This window comes from Homo sapiens, chromosome 1 (assembly GCF_000001405.40).
Source record: "Homo sapiens chromosome 1, GRCh38.p14 Primary Assembly".
Taxonomy (NCBI): domain Eukaryota; kingdom Metazoa; phylum Chordata; class Mammalia; order Primates; family Hominidae; genus Homo; species Homo sapiens.
The window spans coordinates 210793993-210821283 of NC_000001.11; the positions used below are offsets into that span (position 1 = coordinate 210793993).

Sequence of the window (27291 nt, forward strand, 5' to 3'; positions counted from 1 at the left end):
GCAGGTGTTCAATGCATTTTGGTTGGATTGTACTGAAGGGCATCAACAGACAATATAGTTATAATACCCATTTGATGCTTGAACCCCCTTGCAAGAACAAACTGATTTCAGTCCATTGACCAAAAGATATGCTAATTATAGAAAAACAACAAGAACAAAACTCTGAATTTAAGTTTCCAGGGAGCAAACAGCTTAGAATCACTTATGCCTCTTTGTCCAGAGCTCAGGTTGATTCAAAGGACGTGTCTCGACCTTTTAGAGAATAAGAGCCCCATGAAATCTGATAAGTTATTTAGAATATTGAGCTTGGACCTACTTTACAGACTCAATCTGGCTCCTAGAGACAAAGTGGAGAAGCTTTTTCTAGTGTAGACAGCTTGAAGGCAACAACCACTTTGAATCCAAAGCTGCTGAGCTATTTGAGAGATCCTGTCCACATTGCTAACTAGAGCAGGCAGAATGCCTGGGAGGGCCCCAAGTAGAGGCCCTCTAGATTTAGAGACGCAGTCAACAAGGTCAAGTAATTCAACAATAAATCAAGCCCTGGTTTCTTCCTCACAAGAAGCCCAGGATGAAAGGAAATGAGAAGGGGCTAGGAAGCTGTTTGTCTTCCCCACCCCTCTTCAGCTCCATCATGCCTCTATGCCTAAGTCTAGGTGTTCAAACCAACTCCTAGTAATGCAGCTGTGTGTGGTGAGTCATGAAGGGATGCCCTGAGCATGGAAAGGCATATGGTAAGTTATGAGTGAGAAGATGAGTGAAAAATGCCCTTATCAAAGGGTTAAGTCAAATCCAAATTTAAAGGATTGTTCACTAGTTAATAGGTGCTCATCTCAGCCAGGCAAACATAAAAACGTGGCTATGACCACCAGTAGAATTTCCTCCTTATCAAGGAAACTGATGAGTATTAAAGGTAGTGAAAAATGCTCTTTCATATCAGATATACTAAAGCAATGGTTTTTGCCTTCATGAGTCCTATTTATACACAGTTGAATCTCACTTCTCTGTGATAAGGGGGCAAGGAACAGAGTAACTCTGGTCTGCAGGGTTCAGTGGATACCATGGAATCTAGAACACTTATTTTGGCAAACAGTTTCAGCCTCCATTCCCCACCCAATTTCTTTTTGCTTGTTTTTGTTGTTGTTGTTGTTGTTGTTGTTTGTTTGTTTGTTTTGTGAGACAGGGTCTCCTTCTGTCACTCAGGCCTCAGGCTAGAGTGCAGTGATGTGATCACGTCTCACTGCAACCTCCGCTTCTGATCCTCCCACCTAAGTCTCCTGAGTAGCTGGGACCACAAGCATATACCACCATGCCCATCTAATTTTTGTATTTTTTGTGGACACAGGGTTTTGCCATGTTGCCCAGGTTGGTCTCAAATTCGTGGACCCAAGAGATCCACCCGTCTCAGCCACCTGAAGTGCTGGGATTACAGGTATGAGCCACTGCACCCGACCACCCCGCCCAGTTTCTATCCCACTCTCCCTTTGACCATCTGCCAGTGTATGCTGAAGGAATATAAATCATCCTTGGGTTAACCTAAGCCAAATGTAATCAAGAGAGTCAGTTGGCTTAGGACCAAAAAACAAGAAGGAAGCTACATATTGTGTGCTCCAAAGTCAAGCAGGAATAAAGTTGGGGCTTTTCTTTTTCTTTCTTTCTTTCTTTTTTAAAATAATACTATCTATGTCTCTATGTAGTTTGAATCTCAATTCTAACTTCAGAGTAACTTAATCTCCTCCAGCCTCAGTTTTCTAATAAATCATTTGTAAAAGATAAAACACATGTCTGCAATCTCTACCAGTACCTGGCAACTTAATGGGCTAGCATACTACGTTAATTATCATCAGAGGCTGGGTGTGGTGGCTCATGCCTGTAATCCCAGCACTTTGAGAGGCCAAGGCGGGCAGATCACGAGGTCAGGAGATTGAGACCATCCTGGCTAACATGGTGAAACCCCATCTCTACTAAAAACACACACACACACACACACACACACACACACACACACACAAATTAGCTGGGCATGGTGGTGGGTGCATGTAGTCCCAGCTACTCGGGAGGCTGAGGCAGGAGAATGGCGTGAACCTGGAAGGCAGAGCTTGCAGTGAGCCGAGAGCATGCCACTGCACTCCAGCCTGGGCAACAGAGCAAGATTCCGTCTCAAAAAAAAAAAAAAATTATCATCAGAATTGCAGTATTACAAAATGGATTGAAGCAGAGGTTTTGGAGTCAGAGGGACTCTGGAATGCTGATTCCATGGACCTCATCAGCCATGAGGAAATTTCCTTAATCTCTTTGAACTTTAATTCTCTCATCTACAAAATGGGGATAATAAAACCATTTCATAGGGTTACTGTAAGTTTAAAATGAGTATCTGTGTGTCAAATGCTGTGTCAAATGGCACAGAGTAGATGACCATAAATGATAGCTATTATTATGACGATGGCTTGCCCCTTTAAAGATATACCACCAATAAAGAGCTGTTGTCTAGCTAGCTGAGAAAACTAGACACATTTCCTAAAAGCTACTGATGCTCAATGTCCCAGTTACCAACACGTTCCCCCGCATCCCTGCTCCTCCTCCCACATTCTCTATTACTGTGGATGGTGTACCAGCTTCCCTGTTATCCATGTGAGAAAACCTATAGTCCTCGCTGACTCCTCCTTCCCCGCCACAGCAAATCTGTCATTGGGTTGCAGTGATTCTACTTCTTGACTATCTCAACTCCATCTGCTTCTCTCCATCTGCTTGCCACAGTATTAGTTCAGGCCACCATCAACTTACCTCTAGATAACATGCCTTCCACCTGGTCTCCTTACCCCAGCCTTCCCTACTCAATCCACTCCCCAAGCTGCAACTACTGTCATCTTTCTAAAGTACAAATCTCATCATGCCTCTCCCCTGCTTTCAGCTCTTCATTGGATCCCCCAAATAAAATCCCAGTCACCTAATGTGGCTTCCAGAGCCTGCCACGATCTGCCTAGTGCTTCACTCCCTCCCTAGTCTGATATCTTACCATGTCCCCTCTTGTGTTCCAGCCACACTAAATAATTTGTAGTTCCCCAAATGAGTCATGAGTTTCTCCCTCTGAAAGGATTTGACACATGCTATCCCCTCTTTTTAGGATACTTCATCCCTTCTCTTCTCCATGCTAACTCATTCTCAATTTTTAAGTTTTAGCATAGGTACAGGAAGCCTTCCCACTTGAATACTGGGTTAGATGTGCCTCCCACTGTACTGCAAATGTCTGCTTATTTGTTCATCTCCTACACTAGACTGGGAGCCCCTTGAGGATAAAACCCATTTTTCTTATTGAAATACTCCAGATATCAAACAGTGACTGGCTTTGTGCCAAACAGGCTCTCGCCGTTTGATTGTTGGATAGATAAGTGAATATTAGCAATTGGCCCTGCCCTATGAAGCAATCTCTAACTGAAGGTGGCAGTGGCATTGAGCTGCCCAGAAGCTAAGCCAACCCCAGATACCTTTGCCCATCCAGCAAAGCCAACACCTACCTAGAATGGCCACCACCTCATCATCTTGGATCACCTCCAGGGAGCCAGAAACCACAAAGCAGAGGCTGTCAACGCTCTCTCCTGCATGGTAGATGAGGTCCCCTGGGGCACAGTGCACCGTCTGGAACTCCATGGCCAGTGCCCGGAGGCAGCCATCACTGGCCAGCCGGAAGGCCGGGTGCTCCTTGAACACCTTGCGGTTCAGGTGCACGCAGATGTCGGCTCTCATGTCCTTGGGGCAGATCTGCAGGACCTAGCCAGGTACAGAAAAAAACAGTGTGAGGGTCCTCACTGTGGCCTTCAGCCCACATCCTTCAGCACTCTAGGGGGAGGAGCAACATCCACTACGCCAGACTGCACTCTTCTAACCAAAGTCCCTGCGCTTATGGAGCTTATATTCTTATAGATGAGACAGATAGCTTCTAAAAAAAATCTGTGCTGAATGTTCAGGACAGGGGTCTGAGAATCAGCACTGGGAGTAAGTGGGACCCCTGTAGATCAGTGGTCAGAGAAGGCTTCTCTGGGAAGGTGACTTTTTTTTTTTTTTTTTAAGACAGAGTCTTGCTCTGTCTCCCAGGCTGGAGTGCAGTGGCATGATCTCGGCTCACTGCAAGCTCCGCCTCCCAGGTTCACGCCATCCTCCTGCCTCAGCCTCCCGAGTAGCTGGGACTACAGGCGCCCACCACCACACCCAGCTAATTTTTTGTATTTTTAGTAGAGAAGGGGTTTCATCATGTTAGCCAGGATGGTCTCGATCTCCTGACCTCGTGATCCGCCCGCCTCGGCCTCCCAAAGTGCTGGGATTACAGGCGTGAGCCACCACAACCGGCCAGGAAGGTGACGTTTAAGCTGACTCCTGCATAAGTGCAAGAGTGAGCCATGTGAAAGAAGAACATTCCAGCAAGATAGTAAACACAAAGGCCCTAAGAGAACTTGAGCAATAGCCAAAAGGAGTGAGGGCAAAGGGGCAGGAGATGAGGATCAGAGACAACACCAAGTATGAGAGACTTTTAGGTGTAATAAGCCTTGGGTTTTATTCCAAGTATGATAGAGAAATACTGGAGGATTTTTGAGCAGGAGAATGTCATGACCTGACTTACATCTGAAGAAGATCATTGAAGCTACAGAGCGATGTTAGAGAGTGCTGACTATAGGGTGTCAAGAGTCTAGTCAAGGAATCTAGTTAGGTCCCTCCTGCAGCTGTCCAGGTGAGAGGTGAGGGAAACTTTGACTGGGATGCTGGCAGGAGAGCCAGGGGGAAGCAGTTAAATTTAGAAAATATTTTTAATGTAGAAATGACATGATCTACTGATGGACTGAATATAGGGTGTTATTTAAAGACAGATATAAAGTAACATTTACTAAGCACTTGCTGAGTGGCAGGCATTGCTAAACACTTTAGAATCATTCATTCATTTAATACTTATCAAACACATTATGGTATGTCAGGCATCATCCTAGGCTCTGAGGATGAAGCAGCAAAAAATAAAAATAAAAAAAGACAAAAATCCCTGTCCTCATATGAGTTACCATCTAATGGGAAGAGACAAATAGTAAGCAAAATAAATAAAATTTAGTGGTAAGTGCTTAAAGAAAACAATAAAAAAAAAAGGAAAGAAGGATAGGCAAAGTTGAACAGGGTTGTGATTTTACATTTTAAACTGTTACATGCATTTGCTAATTTAATCCTCCCACAAACTGTATGATATAAGTGCTATTATTATATCATTTTACAGATGAGAAAACTGAGACACAAGGAAGATAAATAACTCGCCAAAAATTGCCAGGATATGGCACAGCTGGGGTTTCAAACTAGGTAGCTTGACATTAGAGCCTGGTTTAGATCCCAACCAATTCCTATACTAGGCAGCTGCCCCACAAAAAAGGCTTGTAATTTTATTATCAACATCTCAGCAGCATCTTGGAATTCAAGCAAAAGGAAAACTGTAGGAGGCTATGCAGATCTCATCTTCTGAAAAGATTAAAAATTTACAGGTTTTCCTAGAGGGAGAAATATTTCTCTGGACTAAATGTTTGCAATAAAACATTGCATGGCCCCCTACATAGCAAGCATTAAGTATGGACACCTTCAAGCAAACTTTTCCAGAGAAATCAGAAGTGTTTCTAAAATAATCCATTCTCCCATCCTAGCTTATGAGCAAAGCTAGGGGCATAAAATCAAACATGTTCAGTGATGACGTTTTCCTTGAAGTTCTGGGTACTTTCCCACCTCTGCTTCTCTGCCTTAGCACAAGCCATTTGCCACTATATCTGCTGCTCATCCCCAAATTTGGAAGACTTTCAGCCTCCTTCAAAGTCCAGCTCAAATCTCACCTCACCACTGATGGCTTCACTTATATCCCCACCCCCTCAGGTGCCCCTGTGCTCTCCTTGGAGGTACAGCAGTGGAAAGGGGTCAAAGAGTTGAAATCCCAGCTCCTTCCCCTCCAGGTGACACTTTTCATTTCTCCTATAAAATGCAGACTGTTAACATTGACTTGTGAGAATTAAATGAAATTATATCTACCAGTACACAGCCTGGGACAAAGCCTGGCCCCAGTAGGGGATTCAGTAAGTACAGATGCCCTTGCTCTGTGTGCTTCTGCATTCTTGATCTGGGGTTGCAGGATGCCCATCAAGCGAGCATGCCCTCTGGGAGTACAGACACAGGACAGACCAAGGCAGAGAGGAAAATTCAGAACGCCAATGCTTGGGCAGAGTGCTTGCTAAGGACTTACTTCCATAAGGCTCATTAAAAACAAGACTCCTGCAGAAATGCAGATTTAATTTAGGTCCTCTGCTCTCCAAGCAGATCACTAGGTAATGAGGAGCACTCACACGCCATGTCAAAACTGTGCCCAGTCGTCTGGAACCAAGATTTATTCTCCAGGTGAGTTCACCTTTAAATATGTCATTTGCCCTGAGCTAGACTTTACTCTTCCCCTGGAAGAGGCTGCTAGTGAATGAGGCCTTGGCATGGAGACAATATTTTATTCATGCGCACTGTTCCCAGAGCCAATGGAGAGTACAGTGTGAGCAGGTGAGGGAACCTGGAGAGGAGAAATTGCAGACTGTCACAGCCATCAGTCATTTCCATCGTTCTTTCCATCTATTGGCTCCACACTGAGGTGGGTGGGGTGTCTGGAACTCCTCTCTCTGAGTGCAGTGGGGAGGTCTCAACTCTGAGATCCCACAGCCGGCTCCCAACCCCACCCCGGCCACCTTTCCTACTGCTAGGTTTTGAGAAGAGACCATCCTTGCTCTTCCTTGAAGGTCTCAAAGGCCAAAGGGAGATATCAACGTGGAATCTCCTCCAAGCTAGGCAGGACAAGAGTCCTGAGTAAGAGAAGAGGCGTTAGGATCAGGTAGAACTGGATTCAAGTCCCAGTGTCAGCACTCACTAGATGCGTGAATGTGCAGCAATACTTAGCTCCTCTCCCCATGTCTTCATTTTTTTGAAATTGCATATAGAATTCTTCTGAGGATTCCATGAGCTGTTGTGTGGAATGTCCTGGCATAATGCCTGACACATACAAGTGTTCAATGCCTGTGAGCTCTCATTTTTGATATTGTCATCATAGCAGCAGCAGCAATTTCAGGGAGGCTTTGAAGTCCAGAAGGTCATAGCCAAAAGGGCTTTAGAGGTCACCTAGTCTTAAAATTCATGTTTCCATGAGCTACAGACATAAAAACAGGCTTGGAGAGAGACAAGTGATATGCTCAAAGTCACCAGCTAATAGCTGGTAAAACTGGGGTATCCCAGCACTACCACCCACATGCCCTGGCTCCCTGGTTATCACTGACCATTCTGACCTAGATTGGAGGGGAGGGGCAGATGGGGAGAGGTATAGGATGACAGGACTGGTTCTCTCCCCAGCAGTAGCCTGCCACAAGCTCCTGCCCAGAGGAGCAGCCAGCCCGCTCTGGGCTCCAGAGTGAGTAGCCACAGTTGGGTCCATGGCTATTCCCTCTTCCATCTGGACCAGCACCTGGGGCAAATCCCAAAGCCCTCCAGGAAAGTGAGGGCAGATCTGCAGGACAGATCTACAGGGAGAGGAAGAGAGGGCAAATGCTGACGGTGCTGTCTCCCATGGGCAGCCACCCAGCCAGCCCTACAGTGAGGGTGGGGAAGGGCTTCTTTCCAGACAACCAGACTTACAAAGGCATCCTGGTGCCTGGGAAAAGGAGCCCTAGGGCAGAGAGATCAAAGTTCCTTTCTGCTCCATCAGCTGCCAGGAACCCACAGAACCTACAGGCATTGTTGAGAGAACACAGCAGAAACAATAGGCGTAGTTGGGGCAGGTGGTTGGCAAAAGCAGCGACTAAGTTCAGCTCCAGCCGATACCCTGCCCATCCAAGAAATTAGAATGACTCTGTTTGGACTCATCCTCCTTCTCTCTAGTACATGTTTTAAATTTTTTTAAGTAATAGTAGGAAAAGCACAGGCTTTGAAGTCAGACAAAATGGTGTTCAAATCCTGGCTTTGCCATTCTTTACACTGTGACCAGGGGCAGTTAGTAAAATGAATCGGGCCTCTTGTGCTTACCCCCTTCAAGAAGGATAACAGGGTTGCTGTGGAGGCTAAATGAGACACTAGTGCAAGACCAGGCATGTAGAAGAAGCACAACAAATATCTGTTCTTAATGCATGTTCAAGAAATGGTAGCTGAGGTTGTAGTAGTGGTGTTATGGTTATCACGGCAAATAGTCAGCAAAACCAAAGTAATGTTCAAGTTGAGGATTAAATTCAGTTCAATGTTTCCTTTTAAACTGTCAACTCTCAACTGACAATTCTAATGAAGGAAGACTAGGAACATAAGTAGCTGATCCCAAAGCCAGTTGAATTTGGTTTGCAATGTGTCATTATGTATTTTTACGATCATGTTATCTTTCTGTTTTCCTCATTCTAACGGTCGAAAGAATCAGTATGCCTTGAGTACTTATGGACTGGAGAGAAAAAAGACTTGATAAAGACTGAGAAGCAGAGAATGAATCTCATTGAGAATAGATTTAATCTCAATGGATCTGAGATTAAATCTTTTTTATAGAAAATATGCAAAGAAAATTCATAAGTAAATAATAGGAAGCCCACTGTATGTTTTCTCTATTATTTCCAGTACCACCAAATTTTCATTACTCTATTGAAATGCACCTAGAATAATACAATTCTTAGAGAACAATAGGAATTTATCACCCTCTCCATTTTACAGGTGGGAAAACAAATAACTAGAGAGATGCCTAATTGATGTTCTGGTCAAGTCAACTGATGATTAAGGCACAAACTCTTGATCACTGTTTCCTGGACTTGTCTGATGAATAGGGTTGCCTGGGCACTTGTCAAAAATGCATGGCACGTGTATACCTGTGTAACAAACCTGCATGTTCTGCACATGTACCCCAGAACTTAAATTAAAACAAAAAAAAAGAGTAACTCCTTAAAAAAAAATGCTCCCTCACTTCCCCTAAATTCTCATTCCATAGATCTGGTGAAGGCTGGGATAGTTTTTAAGGGCACTTATTAAAAATGCTCCCTCACCTCCCCCAAGTTCTCATTTCACAGATCTGGGATGGAGGCTAGGATTGTTTTTAGTAATGACATCATGGGATTCTTTCTTTGAGACAGTCTCACTCTGTCACCAAGGCTAGAGTGCAGTGGCATTATCTTGGCTCGCTGCAGCCTCTGCCTCCTGGATTCAAGCAATTCTCCTGCCTCAGCCTCCTGAGTAGTTGGAACTACAGGTGCTGCCACCAAACCCAGCTAATTTTTTGTATCTTTAGTAGAGATGGGGTTTCCCCATGTTGCCAGGCTGGTCTCAAACTCCTGACCTCAAGTGATCCACCCGCCTCGGCCTCCCAAAATGCTGGGATTACAGGCATGAGCCGCTGCATCTGGCCTGACATCATGGGATTCTTATCAGGGTCAAGATGAGGTTGAGATGAGTGAGGCAACAGCCTTGGGCACACAAATTAAGGGAATGCTAAAAAAGTCAGTAATCAAGATAAATCATGGTTTAATTCTAAGGTTAATGCAAAAAAATCCATGATGAACAAAATATCAAAAGTTTGAATAAAGACAAGATCAGTAACAGTGCTGTGCTATCTTCAAGTCTGGGTAAAAAGAAAATTGACAATACTGATCTCCCGTCTCTAGTCATGGCTCTGATTCTTATCATCATCCAAGTTTGGGAAATTCTACCCTGGACAGTTAGACTTCCAGCTCCTCTCTTCTCCAGGAAATACACCCTGCCTTTCTAATTTCTTAATGATGTTTTATTGTTGGTCTTTGAGTAAGGCTGATCTAGAAGCAAACAAGACCTCTGGAGGTAGGACCTGGAATCCCAAAGTACTCAAGTGAATTCTGAGCACAGCCAGGTTTGACATCCACTGTCTTAGGCAAGCCTCAACCCTCCTAGGGAAACCAAAAGACAAATGGTTTCCCTGAGCTCCTCATCCTCCTTACCTTCTCTGTGTCAATGCCTCTGGACATGGACCAAGTGGACACAATATAATCCATTACTCGCTCACTCAATCCTTTTGGCACCTGGTAGAGCTTCAGGAAGTCCCGAACACTGTTGAGCATCTCATGGTATCTGTTGGTGTTGGCATACATCTGTTGGAAAATAGTCGTCACATTCCCGAAGATGGTGGCATAGAGAAGTGCTAGAGGTGAGGAGGAGGAGCAAAAGAAGAAATAACAAGTTAGTGGTCCCTGAGCCAGGGTTCCAGAATGCTCAGCTTGCTCAGAGTAGGCCAATGGCCAGAGCTGTCCCTCCCCAGTGCAGACTGCCCTGACTATTCTCAGGAGACCCTCACACCTGGAGCTTCTGGGGGCATGGATGCAAAGAAAGAGCCTCTTACCACCAAGCTACTAGGAGAAACGTGTGGGAGACAGGGCTAGGGTGCATGTGAGCTGGCATGGCCGGGGCCAGAACTAAGACACAGCAGTGGGGGCTAGGCAGTGGGTTGCGGGGGCGGGGTAAGTTGTACTGCTTAATTTTATACTTTCTGTCATAAAAAGTTTGAGCCATGCCTGAGGTCACTAGTCAAATGTGTGCCTATGTGTTCCACACCAGTCAAAATCCAAACCCATCAGTGAATGAGCTTTATCAAGCTCTGCTACGTGCCAAGCACTGTGCTACCTGCCAAGGACAGGATGGTGAATAAACAGTCAGACCTGGTCCTCACAGAGCAAAAAACGGAGCAGGAATGACAGACCTTGAATAAATAATCACAAATAAATAAATAATAGCAAGTCTGCAGAGGGCAGTGAAGGATGTTATATCCTTGTTTTGCACTTACTGTTAGTGCAACAATCTGCTTCACTGTGATGTGGCTCCTGGGGAAAAACATAGCTTTAATATGGTAAGAATAAAATCAAGTCCCCTTTGAGACATAGCAAGTGTGTACTACATGCTACTACAGCTCCCCCTACATTTGCATTAGGAAGAAGGACCATTATGTTATTACAAAACCCAACCTTCTACCTCTAACTTCCATTGCTCAATGCTGAGCTCAAGAGCCACTGCTTCCAGGAAGTCTTCCTATACACCTTTTGCCCTCCATCTGTCACCACGAGTGTGACCATGATTTACCAGACATATTTCTATAGAACTCATATTACACCATTTTGCAATCACGTGCTTCTTTCTTTGCCTGTTCCCTGACAGTGTGAGTTGCTTGAAGGCTGAAGCCATCTTTTCCTTGCCGTTGTATCCCTAGGATCTAACACTATACCAGTACTTAATAAATATTTGTCAAATTTCACACATTTTTGCTCTGGCTTTTCAAAAGATGAGTTATTATTGATATATAATAAACTGCACATGCTTAAAGTATATAATTTGCTATGTTTTGACATATATACACCAATAAAATCATCACCACTATCAAAATAGTGAACATATCCATCACCACCAAAAGTTGTGTCATGCCTCTTTGTAATCCCTCCCTCCCATCCCCACCTGCTTTCCACCTGCCATCTCCAAAAAACCACTGATCTCTCTTCTGGCAACACAGATTAACCTTCATTTTCTAGAATTTTATATACATGGAATCATACAATATGTACTCTTTTTAACATCTTTTATTAAGATATAATTCATACACCATAAAATGTATCCATTTAAAGTACAAAATTCAATGGTCTTCAGTATATTTACAGAGTTGTGTAACCATCACCGCAATCTAAGTTTAGAATATATTCCTCCGAAAATAAACCCCATACCCATTAACAATCATCCTCCATTTCCTCCCAAGCCCCTTGCCCTAGGCAACTGCTAACCTACTTTCTATCTCTATTGATTTCCATATAAGTTAAAATCACATAATATGCGGTCTTCCATGACTAGCTTTTCACTTAACATAATGTTTTCCAGCTTCACCCCATGTTGTAGCATGTATCAGTACTTCATTCCTTTTTAATTTGAACACTACTCTATTGTGTGGATATTCCACATTTCATTTATCCATTCATCAGTTCATGGGCATTTGGGTTGTTTCTGCTTTTTGGCTATTACAAACATTCATGTGCAAGTTTTTATGTGAACATATTTTCAATTCTTTTGTGTATATACCTAGGAGTGAAATTGCTGGGTCATACGGTTACTAGGTTTAACATGTTGGAGAAATTGCAGAATTGATTTCCAAAGTAACTGCACCACTTTACATTCCTGCCAGCAGTCTATAAGAGTTCCAGTGTCTCAATATCCTCATTAACAATTGTTATTGTGTCTTTTTCAATTATCACCTTTCTAGTGAGTATGACTTGCCATCTCATTGTGGTTTTGATTTGCATTTCCATACAGCTAATGATGTTAAGCTTCTTTTCATGTGCTTATTGGTCATTTATATATCTTCTTTGGAGAAATCAAATCTTTGCCCATTTTTCAATTTTTTTTTTATTGTTGAGTTCTAAGAACCCTTTTATATAATCTGGATACAAGTCCCTTCTCAGATAAATGATTTGAAAATACTTTCTCATATCCCATGGGTTGTGGTATCATTTTTGGTGGTATCATTTACAGCACAAAAGGTTTTAGCTTTGATGTAGCTCATTGTACTTATTTTTTTTCTTTTGTACTCTTCTTTGGTTTATTTGATTCAGCGTATTTTGGGATTCATCCATGTTACTGCATGTATTGTTTAATAATAGTTCATGTCTCTTTTTAAATAAGAAAAGCAAACACTTTACTTGAAATAATTAGAAATTTACAAGAAGCTTTGGGAGACCGAGGCAGGCGGATCACCTGAGGTCAGGAGTTCGAGACCAGCCTGGCCAATATGGTGAAACCCCATCTCTACCAAAAAAAAAAAAAAAAAAAAAAAAAAAAAATATATATATATATATATAAATTTGCCGGGCATGGTGGTGCACACGAGTAGTCCCAGCTATTTGGGAGGCTGAGGCAGGAGAATCGCTTGAACCCAGGAGGCAGAGTTTGCAGTGAGCCAAGATCACACCACTGCACTCCAGCCTGGGTAGCAGAGCAAGACTCCATCTCAAAAAAAAAAAAAAATTCACAAGAAGTTGCCAAGATGGTACAGAAAAATTCTGTGTACCCTTCACCCAGTTTCCCCCATTAATTACATCTTACAGCACAATATCAAGAACAGACTGATATTGCTATAAAGTATATGTATAGTTCTGTGTCATTTTATCACGTGTAGATTCATTTAACCAACACTACATTCAAAATACAGAATTCTTCTATCACCACAGAGATCTCCTTGTGCTTCCCCTTTATGGTCACGCTTCCCTCAGCAATCACAACCTTTTTCTCCTTTATTATAATTATGTCATTTTAAGAATGTTATAAAAGCCAGGCACAGTGGCTCATGCCTGTAATCCCAGCACTTTGGGAGGCCAAGGCGGGCAGATCACTTGAGGCCAGGAGTTTAAGACCAGCCTGGTCAACATGGCAAAGCCCTGTCTCTACTAAAAAAACAAACAAAAAAATTTAGCCAGGCATGGTGGCACATGCCTGTAGTCCCAGCAACTTGGAAGGCTAAGGCACAAGAATCACTTGAACCTGGGAGGTGCATGTTGCGTGAGCCAAGATTGTGCCACTGCACTCCAGCCTGGGTGGGTGACAAAGCGAGACTGTCTCAAAAAGATAAATAAATAAATAAATAATAATAATAATAATAATGTTACAGAAATGGAATCACACAGTATGTGACCTTTTGAGATTGTCTTTTTTAACTCATCAAAATCTTCCAAGTTGTTGCATGTTTCAATAGTTCCTTCCTTTTAGTTGATGAATACTATCCCATTGTATGGATGTACCACAACCATTTCTTCCAAGTAATCTTATTCAGTGTTAGCTGACATACTATGGGAGGCAAAAAAATAAGAGAGAAATGCATGGATCTAGAGATAAGGGAAGGACTGAGGACACAAATCCACCAAAAGAGAGTTATAAACAAGGATCAAAGAGTTCTCTGGAAAAGTACCAGGGAGTGGTGTCAATCTGAACAAAAGGAGCCGGACAAAAAGCAGACACCTGCTCTTCTAAGCTCATAGATAGCCTCATAACAATGCAGTTGAAGGTCCTGTCTCCTCCATGCCAATAGTGACATGAAGTGTGGTCAGAACTAACCATCCTCCCAGGAGATGGGCTAGTTGTCTTTTTCCAGTGAGTCTGACTCTAACTCAACAAGCCTATGTGGGCAGTCCTGCTTCAGCTCTGTTTTCTGATTCACAATGAACCAGGAGTCACAGGAAAAGAGTAGATGTGCCTCTTTTTAGGATGGATCCCAGAAAATTAATTTAATCTTGAGCCTAAAACAATAGTTACACCAAATCAATATAGTAAGAATAGCTCTTTTGTCCATGATCTGAGAGAACCAGGCAGCAGGTCAGACATCAAGCAGGGATGGACAACCATCATTTACAGCTCAGGGCTGCTCTTGTTCTAGGGTGCTTCTGAGGCATTCTGGAAGGTTAAGGGTCCTCAGGAGGCCCTTGCTCAATTACAATTACTATTATGAAATATTATTACATTAAAGGTGGATAATTATTGTCTCAATGCCCCTTCCTTAATTTTTTTTCCTTTTTCTTTTTTTAATAAAATAGCGACATGTTCTCACAATGTTGCCCAGGCTGGTCTCGAACTCCTGGCCTCAAGCAGTCCTCCCACCTCAGCCTCCCAAAGTGCTGGAATTACAGATGTGAGCTACCATGGCCAGCCCCTAATTTTATATGAAGGGGGATTACATGTTTTTCATGCACGTAACGTTTAATTTATATTGGTATCTTATATATAAAGCATTACACCTTAAATACTAAAAACCTAACTGGGAGAGAAGACATGTAAGTCCAGTTGTCACCTGAATAGATATATGAGTGTGATGTAGAGAGGAAGGGAGGGAGATTGTAACACCACTGTCAGGAAACTAAAAAAGCAAGAACGAACCTCCCAGTGCAGAAGGTGTTATGGATGCCTCCAAATGTGGATTCTTTGGGTCCTTCTATTTTCAGAAAGGAAGGAGACCTCCCCCAACCTCAAGGCAAAATGCTGATTTGGAGAAGAAGGGGTTTCTTTCATATTTCAGTGGTTTAGAGTTTATACTATATCACAGCGATTCCTACCCAGAAAGAAAGAAAGAAAAAAGATAGTATTCTCCAGCCCTTAATTAGAAATAGCTATATGGAATTTGGCTGGGGAGGTGGGGGAGGGAGGGAGGGTGTAGCAAAAACACATATCTTTATCAATTTCATTTTCTTAAATTTTTCCTGGAAGCTTCTGAACTGTGCCATTGCCATTTGTGTGAATCTTTCCTGTGAACTGAAAATGACAAGGTTCATAAATTTGGAAAGGAGAGCTTTATTTCTCATAAAGGATTGCAGCTTGCAGGGGGCTGTTCTGACAGGCTGGGAAGCATAGCCTCCAGCCAGAAACCAGAAGCAGACACTTCAAGAGGGAGAAGAATAAGACAAAGATGTATGGTGAATGGGGTGGCCAAATATATATATTAAATAAGCTATAGGAGGGACCATGAATATTCATAAAAAGAGAAACATGCATGTGAACAACTGAGTTTCATGCTTCCCCATGGGACCCATGTTCAAAAAATGGCAGCATTAGCATGAACCAAGGATGGAGTTTTTAAAGCAGAGTACATGAAAACCCTCACTGTGCATCCTCCATAGACTAGCCAGAACCACTCTGTAGTGAGTGGTCTCTTATCAGGAAGGAATCCAGTTCAGCTGTTTTGTGAAAATCACAAAAGGGAGGAGCAGCATCAGTGATTATCAGTGGTGGAGTCTTTCAAACGGGCTGGTTTCTGTTTAGTCTTAGGGAAGAAAGACTAAGGGCGTTTAGTGAGATAGGGGTTATAACAAAGCATGTTTAACCTCTCATCCTATTATGGCCAGGAACTCAGTTTCCAAGGCTTCTCTGAAGTCCCCTTGGCCAAGAGAAGGTCTGTTTAGTCAGTGAAGGGACTTAGAATTTTATTTCTAGTTCTCACTCTTCATCAGCAACCTAGGAAGTTTCTTCACTTATTTAGGTTAGAGCCCCTTATTCCTGCATCTCCTGTCTTCCTCTTCCTTGGTTTACCCCTTTCTCTCTTTTTTATGAGACATCTTCTAATAGCTTTCTGAAAAAAAGGATATATGGGAACAAAGTTTTTTGAGACCTAACATGTCTACTCTTATATTCAATTAATAGCTTAGCTTGGTGTAGAATTCTAAAGTGGAAATCATTTCTCTCTGGATTTTGGAAGCATTTCTCCAGCCTTATCTTGCTATTGAGAAGTCAGAACCAGTAGGATCCCTTGTCCTGCATATTATAACCTGTATTTTTTCTCTCTAGAAACGCTTTCTACAAGGTTCTGAAAATTCGTAATAATGCACCTTTTTGCTATGGTTCCATTTTCATCCATTGTGCTAAACCCTTTCAATCTGGAAATGTATGCACTTCATTTCAAGAAAATTTTCCTGGATTATTTCTTTGATAATTTCTTCCCCTCCATTTCTATATTTTCTTTTCCCTGGCCTCCTGTGATGCAGATGTTGGACTCCTAGATTGATCTCATTTTCTTATTTTTCTCTCTTCCTATTTCTATCATTTTATGAGAAATTTCTTCAGCTTTTGCTCTTTTATTGAATTTTCATTTGATATTATACTTTAATTTCCATGAGATTTTTTTCATTGTCTGAATGTTCCTTTTTAATTGCATTCTGTTTTTTCTTAGATGTAATATCTTCTCCTATTTTCTCAAAGGATATCAATGATAAGCCTATTTTTAAGTTGACTTCTCTTTGCTTAGTCTTTGTTTCCTCATTTACTTATGTGCATGTTTGTCTGCCTTTCTTCTTAGAAATATATGGTAATCCTTAGATATCCACTCGTATTTAAGAGTGGGGCCCTAGAAAACTGATTAAAAGCTTTAAGTGAATGAGTAGACATTGTCAACTGTGAGAATTCACTGTAGACTGACCTGGCTAGAGTTTGTGTTGAAGAATCCATGATGCTACCAACTTTAGGACTGTCCTTTTGCACTGCTCAGAGAAGACTCAATTTGCTGTCAAGAATGCTGGCAATATTCAGCAATTAAGTGAGGGAGAGAAAGGTTGAAGGTTTCAATATTCAGTGTACAAAGTTCCCCTTAATTCTTATTTTCATATACTACCTCTGTTTCACTGTGCCTGTTGTCCCCCAGTCCAGAGACTACCTCTAAAGAATAAACCAGGTTTCATGAATATCAGGAGGCGCAATGACCCAACTGCACAGAATGAGAAAGACATATGTGGGCCTAAATACTTGCTAAGCAAATTTTTAACTGGCCTCCTTTTCCTTAGCTCCACCTTCACCTCCACTTGTAGAGGTACTTATTGTCACTAATAGTTGAGTGGGGGTTCTGGTGAAAATTTTTTGGGAGCTCTGTTGCAAATCAAATTATTTTTCAGATTTCCCTTCTGTCACATTAGGGTTTAGCTTTATGGGGTCTACCAAGTCATTCATTGCTTTCCAGCTTTCAAATTTGTGTTACTGTTATCTCTCCTCTCATTCTTTTTGTCTTTATGGATTTATGTTCATAAAAAAGACTCCTCTTTGCTGTTGCTTTTGTGGGGTTACAGGGGTAATCAGATATAAACATGTGCATTCAGCCAGCCATTACAGCAAAAGCATTATCAATGGCTTGCAAAGGCTTCAGGAATTACTGGCTTTGGCCCGATGTGCCCCATATGAAAGTGAAAAATGGTTTCCAAACCCGCAAAGTCAAGTGCTCAGAGCAAAATAGTAATGATAAATAACACCGCCACCTCAAGGTAGATATTGTCACTATTTAGCAGGTAAGGAAACTGAGGTCCAAGATCAAAGAAATAATGCAATATGTAGCAAGGCCAGAACCCAGGATCTGACTCCAGCCACACACTGTATCCACCAAATCATCCATTCTCAAACTTCAGTGTGTATCAGAATCATGTGGAGAGCCTTTAAACCCATTCTGGGACCTCACCTCCAAAGTAGATTTGGTAGGTCATGAGTGGGCCCTAGAGAACATATATTTCTAACAAGATCCCAGGTGATACTTTTACTGCTAAGAACTTTGAGAAGAGTGGTACGATGATTTTCTAGCTTCTATTGCAATTCCTTCTTGTATTCCAGAATATGTTGTCAAGCTGTATGAACATAAATGTTGGTTTTGACTTGCTCTTCACAGCCAAGGCTGATTGGATTATTCATTGATCACCTTTTCTGGAATAAGGATAGGCAAATTGAAAAGAAAAAGTGACTTACCTATTAAGAGCCACTATATATTTTCTAAATATAGACTTTAACACCCTCCTTTGCTCTCTGTTTCTTTTTCTATCTCCCCTCACTTCAACTCTACTACTCTTACTATCCTGCCACCCTGAGGTTTCATAGATGCCAACAGGCAAAACTGAGAAAGCAGAAGCCCTTTCCAATCTCTGCTTTTAAGCCAGATAGTGCCTGAAATTCAATATCCATTAAGATTACACCTTACTGCTGCTTATTTTAAGGAGACTTAATATGTCTTTTTTGCCAAAAAAGAAAAAAACTCCTGTATGAATTTCCCTTAAAACAAAATTTCCAGTCTTATCATTCTTAATTCCCCATTAGTCATTTGATTAGGATGAACTGCTCATTAAGTCAGGTAGCTGTGCTGTTGCCTATGCAGGGTGCAGGAGGGAGTGTCATTAACACATACATTATTGGCACTGAGCACTCAAAGTGGTCCAGAGACACTCTCTCACTTCCAAGTCAATAATGAGATAGAGCAAATAGAGTCTAAAAAGGCAGAGAAGGAGCTCACAAGTTAAATTTTCTGCTTTCTATGTTAAGGGAAGCCAAGCAAATCCCTATAGGTGACTTCTGCACTCACAACATTTCTCTTGATAAGGAAGGAAAGATGGAGTCTTCAGAGTTATACTCTTCTGGGTTCAAATTCCAGCTCAGCTGCTTAGAACTGTGTGGTCAGAGGCAAATAACTTTACTTCTTTTCCCTCTGTTCCTGTCAATCTAATAAAAAGAGAAATGTCTGCTTGCTTCCCCCTGGGTTGTTGGCAGAATTAAATGAGATACTGTGTGAAATATCCAGAATACTGCGCTGGTACATAGAGACTCCTGATGTTATTTACTCTTTCAGTTAATCATCCTAGAGTCAACTATCATGACAGTTGACACACATTGGACAGCATGTCATGAAGACAGTAACCTAGAACAGTAACCTGAATTGAATTAAAAGACTGCTGCCTTTTAATTGCACAGACTCAAAATTTATCATTGCCAAACAATATTGGGGTCCAGAAGAGAGATGTTTTAAACTAAGCTCATCATGCACAGAGGCCTTCAAAGGAATCTCTAAAATCCATAAACACTAAGAACTTTGATGTATTAGCTGAAATACTGACTACATATTTAGTGATTTTGAACGAAGCTATTCATGGATGAGGAGGGGCTGAAGAGTAAGTGTAGACAAGGGGAGAGTGTGAGGGGGTAGGGAATAAGACCTGAGAACCAGACTTAGTCCTTATTCAATTTCATCCAGCCCATGTAAGAGCAACACATCTAATTTTGTTAATGTAGTTTTTGGTCTTTACTGTTGTTGTTGCTTTTGTTTCTTCTAATGTGATATTGATGGAGTAAGTGTGAGGATAGTGTTTATATTGGCATGGCAACTGGCAACTAACTTTTAAATTATTTCCTGTAACTTAAAAGCCATAGCCAAGAAACTCACTGCCTGGGCAGAAATGGGTAGTGATATGGTTTGGCTGTGTCCTCACCCAAATCTCATCTTGAATTGCAGCTACCATAATTCCCATGTGTTGTGGGACGGACCTGGTGAAGGGTAACTGAATCATGGGGGTGGGTCTTTCCCACGTTGTTCTTGTGATAGTGAATAAGTCTCATGAGATCCGATGGTTTTATAAATGGGAGTTTCCCCACACAAGTTTTCTCTCTTGTCTGCCACCATGTAAGATGTGCCTTTTGCCTTCCACCATGATTGTGAGGCCTCCCCAGCCACACGGAACTGTGAGTGCATTAAACCACTTTTTTTCATAAATTACCCAGTCTCAGGTATGTCTTTATTGGCAGCATGAAAATGGACCAATACAAGTAGTAACAATGGGAAGAAAAAGAAGAATCTACTCATTGCCATGCTAGCAGATCAATCCAGCATAGGAGGAGGACGCACAGGAGAATGCTGAGTCTATGCTTTGGAGACAAGAGATGCAATTTGGAATACTGGCTCCACTACCCACTTCAGGATAATCATTTACTCTCTTTAAATTTCTTTGTATATAATAAATAATTACCTTATATTTTTTAATAAGTGGGATAATATATAAAATGCTTATCACAGTACCTTGCACATAATACATGCTCAATAAGTAATAATAATAATTAACAGCAGGATAATTAAAGACTAAAGAATTTTCTCTAAAGTTAATTATTTCCTGGAAATGTTACCTCACTAAGTTTATCATCAGATGTCTTAATTCAACAAACATTAAATACTCAGATATGTCATGTCATCTGCTGTTCTGGGAAGCAGCATGGTATAGTAAAAATAACTCAGGTTCTGATGAGAAAGCAGCACTGGAATGGAATTCATGGCCCTGTCACTAAGTCAAGTCATGAGAGCCTCAGTTTTCTCATTTATGAAAGGGGAAAGATAATCCTCACTTCTTAGGGTGGCTGGGAATAGTCAATTAATTAACATGACAAATGTCAAACACAATGCTGGATGGAACAGATTCACAGTAAATCTTAGTTTTCTTTCCTGAACCACCCAGTGTTCATATTTTTCCATCAATCATCTCTGGATTCTGGTTTCTTCAGCTCTTGGCTTTGAATGATTATACTCCTACTGTGATAAGTTGGCCTGTGCTTTTCCTTAAATAGAAGAGTTTCTGGAGTGTGGAAATTTTGGTGGAGTCACTTCAGAGGCATCTTCCTCTGCATTCAGTGGATGCATTCAATTTGTTAATGCTGTTGACAAGCTACTGAAGAGACTGTCTCAAAGAGGTGAGTTTGCTCTGGTTCAATGATCCAAGGGCTTCTCAGAGTGTGATGCTGGAACAGCAGCATCACAACATCTGGGCATTTGGTAGAAATGCAAATTCTCAGGCCTACCCCAGACCTACTGGATCAGAATCTCTGGGGGTGAGACCGAGAAATTTGTTCTTTTCAAATTCTGCAGGTGGTTCTGAGGCATGTTAAAGTTTGAGAAACACTGGTTTATGCTATACCAATAAATACTCAGTACTTCCCTAATAAGGTTTTAGTATAATGCCCTCCCTCAAGGAGGAAGGATGGCCAGATGAACAAAAAAAGATACTGGGCCATATTGAGAATGCATAAGGAGACTCTGAAGGTAGTTAACCTTACTCTACTGGACAGGACAATGGCCATGAAGCCAGGTGAGAATGAGAGAACCATCCCACAGATTAGCAACACCTTGATGGAAATAACTACACTCAGCTCTGAATTTCCTGCCAGCGGAACCGAGTAGCCCCATTTTTCTAAGAGATGGTTTAATTATTTTTTTCTCTTTCCCCACTTCTTACTTAGCCCTTTACAAATGTAAAAATACCCTTTTATCACCACCGCCCCACTCCACCAGATACTCTCTACAGGGCTAGTTCACCTAACTCCTGAAGAGTTAACAGTCAATTTAGAGACTGAACCATGTCCACTACAGAACTTTCACCCACCAGGCCACCAGGAGGTTGCCTTGAGATAGCAGCTGATTTCTATGAACTCCCCCTACCAGGAGACTGACTCAAGATATGAAACTCCATCCCACCTGGGGCGCTTTTGGCCTAGTCCTGCCCACGAAGGTGCCAGCAGTCACCAGCTAAACCACCCAGTAGATAAGGCACCGGAGGTAACACACAGATCCCACACCCTTGCTCACTTCCTCCCCTGCCTTTTTAAAGTGTCTGATTTCTGTTCCAAAAGCAAAGTGGTATATTTAAAGGCGGGACATCTGTGCTTCTTCCTCTAAGCCAGCTTTGGAAATAAGTCACTTTCTTTTTACCAGATCTCACTCTTGTTAATCAGACTCTGCAAGCGGCGAGCGATTAACCTGCATTTCGGTTACACCAGCACTATCCCCTCATTTCTCTTCAACTCATCAGCCATTGCCATAGGCATAGAAAGAAGCTCCCCGAAACAGAGAATATAAAACAGATACATTCCCTATTTTATAACAAGAGAAGCCTAAAAACTCTCATTTAATAACCTGCTAAGAATAGCATGAATTCCTACACCACATTCAAACTCGGCCGTGTTGGTGAATGTCACTTAACAAGCACAGTTCTTACAGGGGAGACAGAAGGTTATTTTCAGCTACTTCTCATCTGTCGAATAAAACAACAGCTCCTGCTCCACGGTAACCCATTAACAATGCAGTCTGTGCCACCTCATTTCAACCAGTGTTTTAATAGCACCACAGATAAAAGCACAGCAATTTCCATAGGCAATTACTTCTGCAAATGAATCAAGAAGGTCAGAAACAGGTTGAAAAGGTCTTCAGATAATTTGCTACTTTTACTTATTTTGAGCTCGCTGAGTTCTTGATTGCAAAGAGACAACCATTTAGTTACAACGCACATGGCTAAAGGTAGACTGGCTTGCAGGTTTGCAAACCCAGGTCTTGCTTTACTTCCTAATGAGAGCTCTAAGTTTATTTTTCTCCAATATGAGTCATCAAGAGGAATCTAATTAACAAAGCCATTTAAAATAACACATAATTTTAAAAGTCATTTAAACAAGCATGTTAATCTTAACTAGGCCCATTTTCCAATAGTAGTTACAGCTACTTTTAAGTTAGAAACTCTCACAAAACTCGACGTTTATTTTTCTTCTAAATCTCAAAACAAAAATAGAAGTGAAAAACTTTTCAGAAGCCACTACTATCACATTGAAACATCATAATAATTGGACAGACAGTGGCTTTTAAAGAAATACTTCTTTCAATAATAAAAATAAATTAAAATCACCTTGCTAATTTTTGCCAACTCTAATCTCAGTACCTCTAGCATTTGTTGATTTTCCATACTGAATAACCATGAGTCTCTTGGTTTATCAAAGGCAGAATTGGAATCCTTTAGTTGCTAAGTGACACTGTAAGTTATAGTGCCTCTTCTCCACATTGCCTCCAAAATAATAATTACCCAAAATAATAGATCCCCCAATCTTCTACCACATGGGATGCCAAGAAGTAGAGAGTTGTGAGCCTATCATATCTGACAAAACTATTCATTTTGTATAAGTCAGTGGTCCTAATCCTGACTTTGTTGCTGAGGACAAGTGACAAGTGACTTTCACTCTTTGGGCATAGAAGGCCCAAATATTTGTTTAATCAATGAATAAATGAATAATAACAACAACTGATGCTTATATAGCTCTTATCATGTATGAGTCATTGTTCTGACTACTTTGCATACATAATTTATCTTAATGGTAGATTCATGATATCCATTTCACTGGTAAAGAATCTAGTCAAAAATGTTTAAGTGACTTCCCCAAAGTCACCCAGCCAGTAACAGATGGAAGAAAACACCCAGGCAGGTTGGCTTTGAAACTAGTCAACCATTGCATCAAATGCCTCTCTAAACAATAAACACACATGTCAACTGTGTGCTAGATACTGTCCTAATGCTTACGTATACTGACTCATTTAAATCTCTTAGCAGGCCTATGAGATAGGGACTATCATTAGTCTCATTTGCACATGGGACACAGAGAGTTTAAGTAACTTGGCCAAAGTCACATAGTTAGTAAGCATACATAGAGCTAGATTCAAACCTAGGAAGTTTGGATACAAAATCTATGCCCTGAACCTTTGTACCAGTGCTTCTCAGCCTCAGCAGCATTGACATTTGTGGCCAATTACTTGGTGTGGGACACTGTGTTGTGCATTGCAGCATGTTTAGGGACATCCCTGGCCTCTATCTACTAGATGCTAGCAGCACATCCCAGTTGTGAAATGAAGGTGTCTCCAGACATTGATGGCCATGCATTTCTTAGAAGGCAAATTCGTCCTGATTTGAGAACTACTGATCTATGCTCTGCTGCTTTTCCTTGAGTAAACAAACTTGTCAAATGAGGAAGTCAGACAAGAAGCAGGACTCCTTGGGGCTCAAAGGGGGCCTAAACTCCCTTTGAGCTCTAATATATGATTATGTATTTAGAAAACTTGAAATGGATGATATTATACAGGGTTTATTCATGATGATAAAAACTTGGCTTTTCTCATCTTCTTGGTGCTAGAAAGACAATTTCCAGCCTAATAGTGATGTCCATAACTGACTTTAAAGACGTCTTATAAGCCTACATATTTCTCATTCACAAAGATTTTAATCAGGTAGGAAATAATTCTCTTGCCATTACCCACATCATGAATCTCTGCTGTTTCCCTTCTACCAAATCTACTGCATCATAGTAATCAGAGCTTTGCAGTCACGCTGACTATCCCGACCCTGCTACTTACTTGCTGTGTGACTTGGAGCAAAACACTTAGTGTGAGTTCAGTTTTCCTCATCTGTAAAAAGGAGATAATACCATCTGCCTTATAGTAAGATTTTGGTGAGGATTAAATTTGATGATATATATAAAGTGCCCCATGTAGTATGTGTTCAACACATGTCAGTTTTTTTGCTATGTTATTACTATTCTAGATATAGCTCAAAACATAATTCTTCCAAAAGCTTCCCAGAACCAACACATAAGACTTCCCCACTCTATCCCTAAATGTAGCTCATATGTGGTAACCAACAACACCCACATGGGCCCTATCTACCTGGAACGACAATGACTATTGTTCTCAACTAGGGGAATATTAGAATCACCAGAAAAGCTTTCTAAAAATTATGTTTTCTCAGGTTTACCTATAGCCAGCAGTGTGATGAGAAGTGGGTGAGCAAGTAGATTTTTTTAAACTTCTCATAACTCTTACAGGCACCATTACCTCATCCACGTCTGTGAGCCTCTAATTTAGTTTGCAAGTAACCATTGGATGCCTTATTTTTTAAAAGTCTTGTTAAGTTAAAGTATTTTAATATGTTTAAGGAAAAGAGTGTAATGTCTTTATGAAACAGATTATAAAACAATAGGCTTAGCCAAAGATGTGCTTAATGCTAACTGGGTACTAATGATTTAAAAAAAAATAGGAGGAAGAGTTAATTGAAGAAATTAGTAACTAAGTTGATACAGCAACTTTTTCCTAGTTGAGAGGAAATAATCATAGGCTAGAGTCAGATTTTGCAGAGTCTAGGAAAATATGACATTCTTTATTTTTCCCTTTTTCTTACTTGAAAGAGGAAGGATAAAGGAAAAATGTGTAGAGAAAAAGGTGATTTTAAGCCTTGAACTCAGAAAGGTCATTATTCTTCAGGAAGAGAGATGGCTTAGGAAGACTGGCCAACTGTCAGGAGGAGGGAAGCGAGCCTTCACATGGACTCTGAACAGCCAAGATTTGAGTGTCTGCCGTGACACCTCAGACCAGCTTCCTGCCCTGAATTACTGCGGCTCCAAGGCAATCACGGCTATCCTGAGAGTAGAGAGAAACCTGAAAATTAAGCTAAGCAGTGACTAGTAGTTAGAAAAAAAGTTTAGGAAAAAAAAAACAGCATTCAATTTGTATTTAGCTGTTTGATGGGGTATTTATACACTATGATAAACTTGTCAAAAAAAATAACCATTAGAAATCATTGGCTTCCACTCTTCTGTTAATAGTGTTGTTGTTGATGAAATTCTCTGGGTTTTCCATTCACCACAGCACCACCACAGAACAGTTGACTTGGTGTAGCTACCAAGACTGTAACAGTGCTTAGGAAAAAATAATCATCCTAGTCTAGTTCACAAAAAGGGATTTTGGCTTCTGAATCGTTCTTCTGGATTGCTTGCTCTGGGCGAAGCCAGTGGTCATGCCATGAAGACACTCAACCAGCCCCAAGGAGATGCACATCATGTGAGGGAGCCATCTTGGAAGTGGCTCCTCCAGCCAAATCGTGCCTTCAGATAACAGAAGCAATAGCCAATATCTGACTGCAACCGGGCTGCTCCCAAATTCTTCATCCATGGAAGCCAGAAAGATAAATTATTGTTGTTGTTTTAAGCCTCTACATTTTGGGGTAGTTTTCACAGAGGAATAGATAACTCATACAGAAATGTTATGTCTGTTTCAACTTAAACATCAGCATTTTATTAACTTGAGAACTAATTTGAGAAAACATTTTATAATTACCTTAAGGAGCATGTAGTAGACAGAAAACAATAGCTACCCAAAGATGTCCACATCCTTTTAATAATCCTAATTCCTAGAACCTATGACTATGTTACTTTACAGGGTAGAAGGAACTTTGTGGCCGGGTGCGGTGGGTCATGTCTGTAATCCCAGCACTTTGGGAGGCTGAGGCGGGTGGATCATGAGGTCAGGAGTTCAAGACCAGCCTGGCCAACATGGTGAAACCCTGTCTCTACTAAAAATACAAAAATTAGCCAGGCATGGTGGCACACACCTGTAGTCTCAGCTTCTCAGGAGCATGAAGCAGGAGAATTGCTTGAACCCAGGAGGCAGAGGTTGCAGTGAGCCGAGATCATGTCACTACACTCCAGCCTGGGCGACAGAGAGAGACTCTGTCTCAAAAAACAAAACAAAACAGAAAGGAACTTTGCGGATTGATTAAGGATCTTGGGATGAGAAGATTACTGTGGATTATCCAGATGGATCAAAAGTAATCACAAAGATCTTTACAATGGGGAGGGGAAAAAGGTCAAAGGCAGAAGTAGGAGATATGATGACTGAAGCAAGAGGCTGGAATGATGTGAGGATGGTGACACAAGACAAGGAATATAGGTGGCCTCTAGATGCTGAGAAAGACCAGGGGACAGATTCTTCCCCTGAAGCCTCCAGTAGGAGCACAGCCCTGCTGACACTTTGATTTTAGACTTTTGACCTCCGGAACTATAAGGGAATAAATTTGTGTTGTTTTAAGCCACCAAGTTCGTGTTAATCTATTATAGCGCAATAGGAAACCAATGCAGAGCACTTAAATCATACCATCTTAAGTTTTTCAAATCATACTAATGGGTAATGAAAAATGATCTGGGAGCTGTGAGATTTCAGGTGAATCACTAGAGTGCTTTGAACCTCACCTTGTTTTACCTATAAACTGATGTTTGATTACAATCATCTTGGTGGCCTACCAAAGGCCCCACCTTACGATACCATCACACTGGGGATTAGGGCTTTGACATATGAATTGGGGAAGGGAGATACATAATGGAACTGAT

The 27291-nt window shown here is 41.4% G+C and overlaps 1 protein-coding gene across 5 annotated transcripts in view, besides 1 other annotated feature; it reads right to left on the reverse strand.

Moving 5' to 3' along the window:
* Positions 1–27291, reverse strand: part of KCNH1 (potassium voltage-gated channel subfamily H member 1) — a 455835-nt gene that overhangs the window by 115679 nt on the left and 312865 nt on the right. For all 5 annotated transcript variants that reach the window (XM_047419823.1, NM_002238.4, NM_172362.3 and 2 more), the window contains 2 exons: positions 9975–10174; positions 3516–3768 (listed from right to left, as the gene is read on the reverse strand). In XM_047419823.1, the coding sequence (XP_047275779.1) occupies positions 3516–3768; positions 9975–10174 (453 nt within the window). The remainder of the gene's footprint in view (positions 1–3515; positions 3769–9974; positions 10175–27291) is intronic.
* Positions 24232–24401: an enhancer, noted in NCBI's record as "experimental_3130 CRE fragment used in MPRA reporter constructs". NCBI's record gives its function as "activates a minimal promoter by MPRAs in K562 erythroleukemia cells, with activity observed for both the introgressed and non-introgressed 1:210991651 variant alleles {active_cell/tissue: K562}" and the evidence as "EXISTENCE:reporter gene assay evidence [ECO:0000049][PMID:34662402]".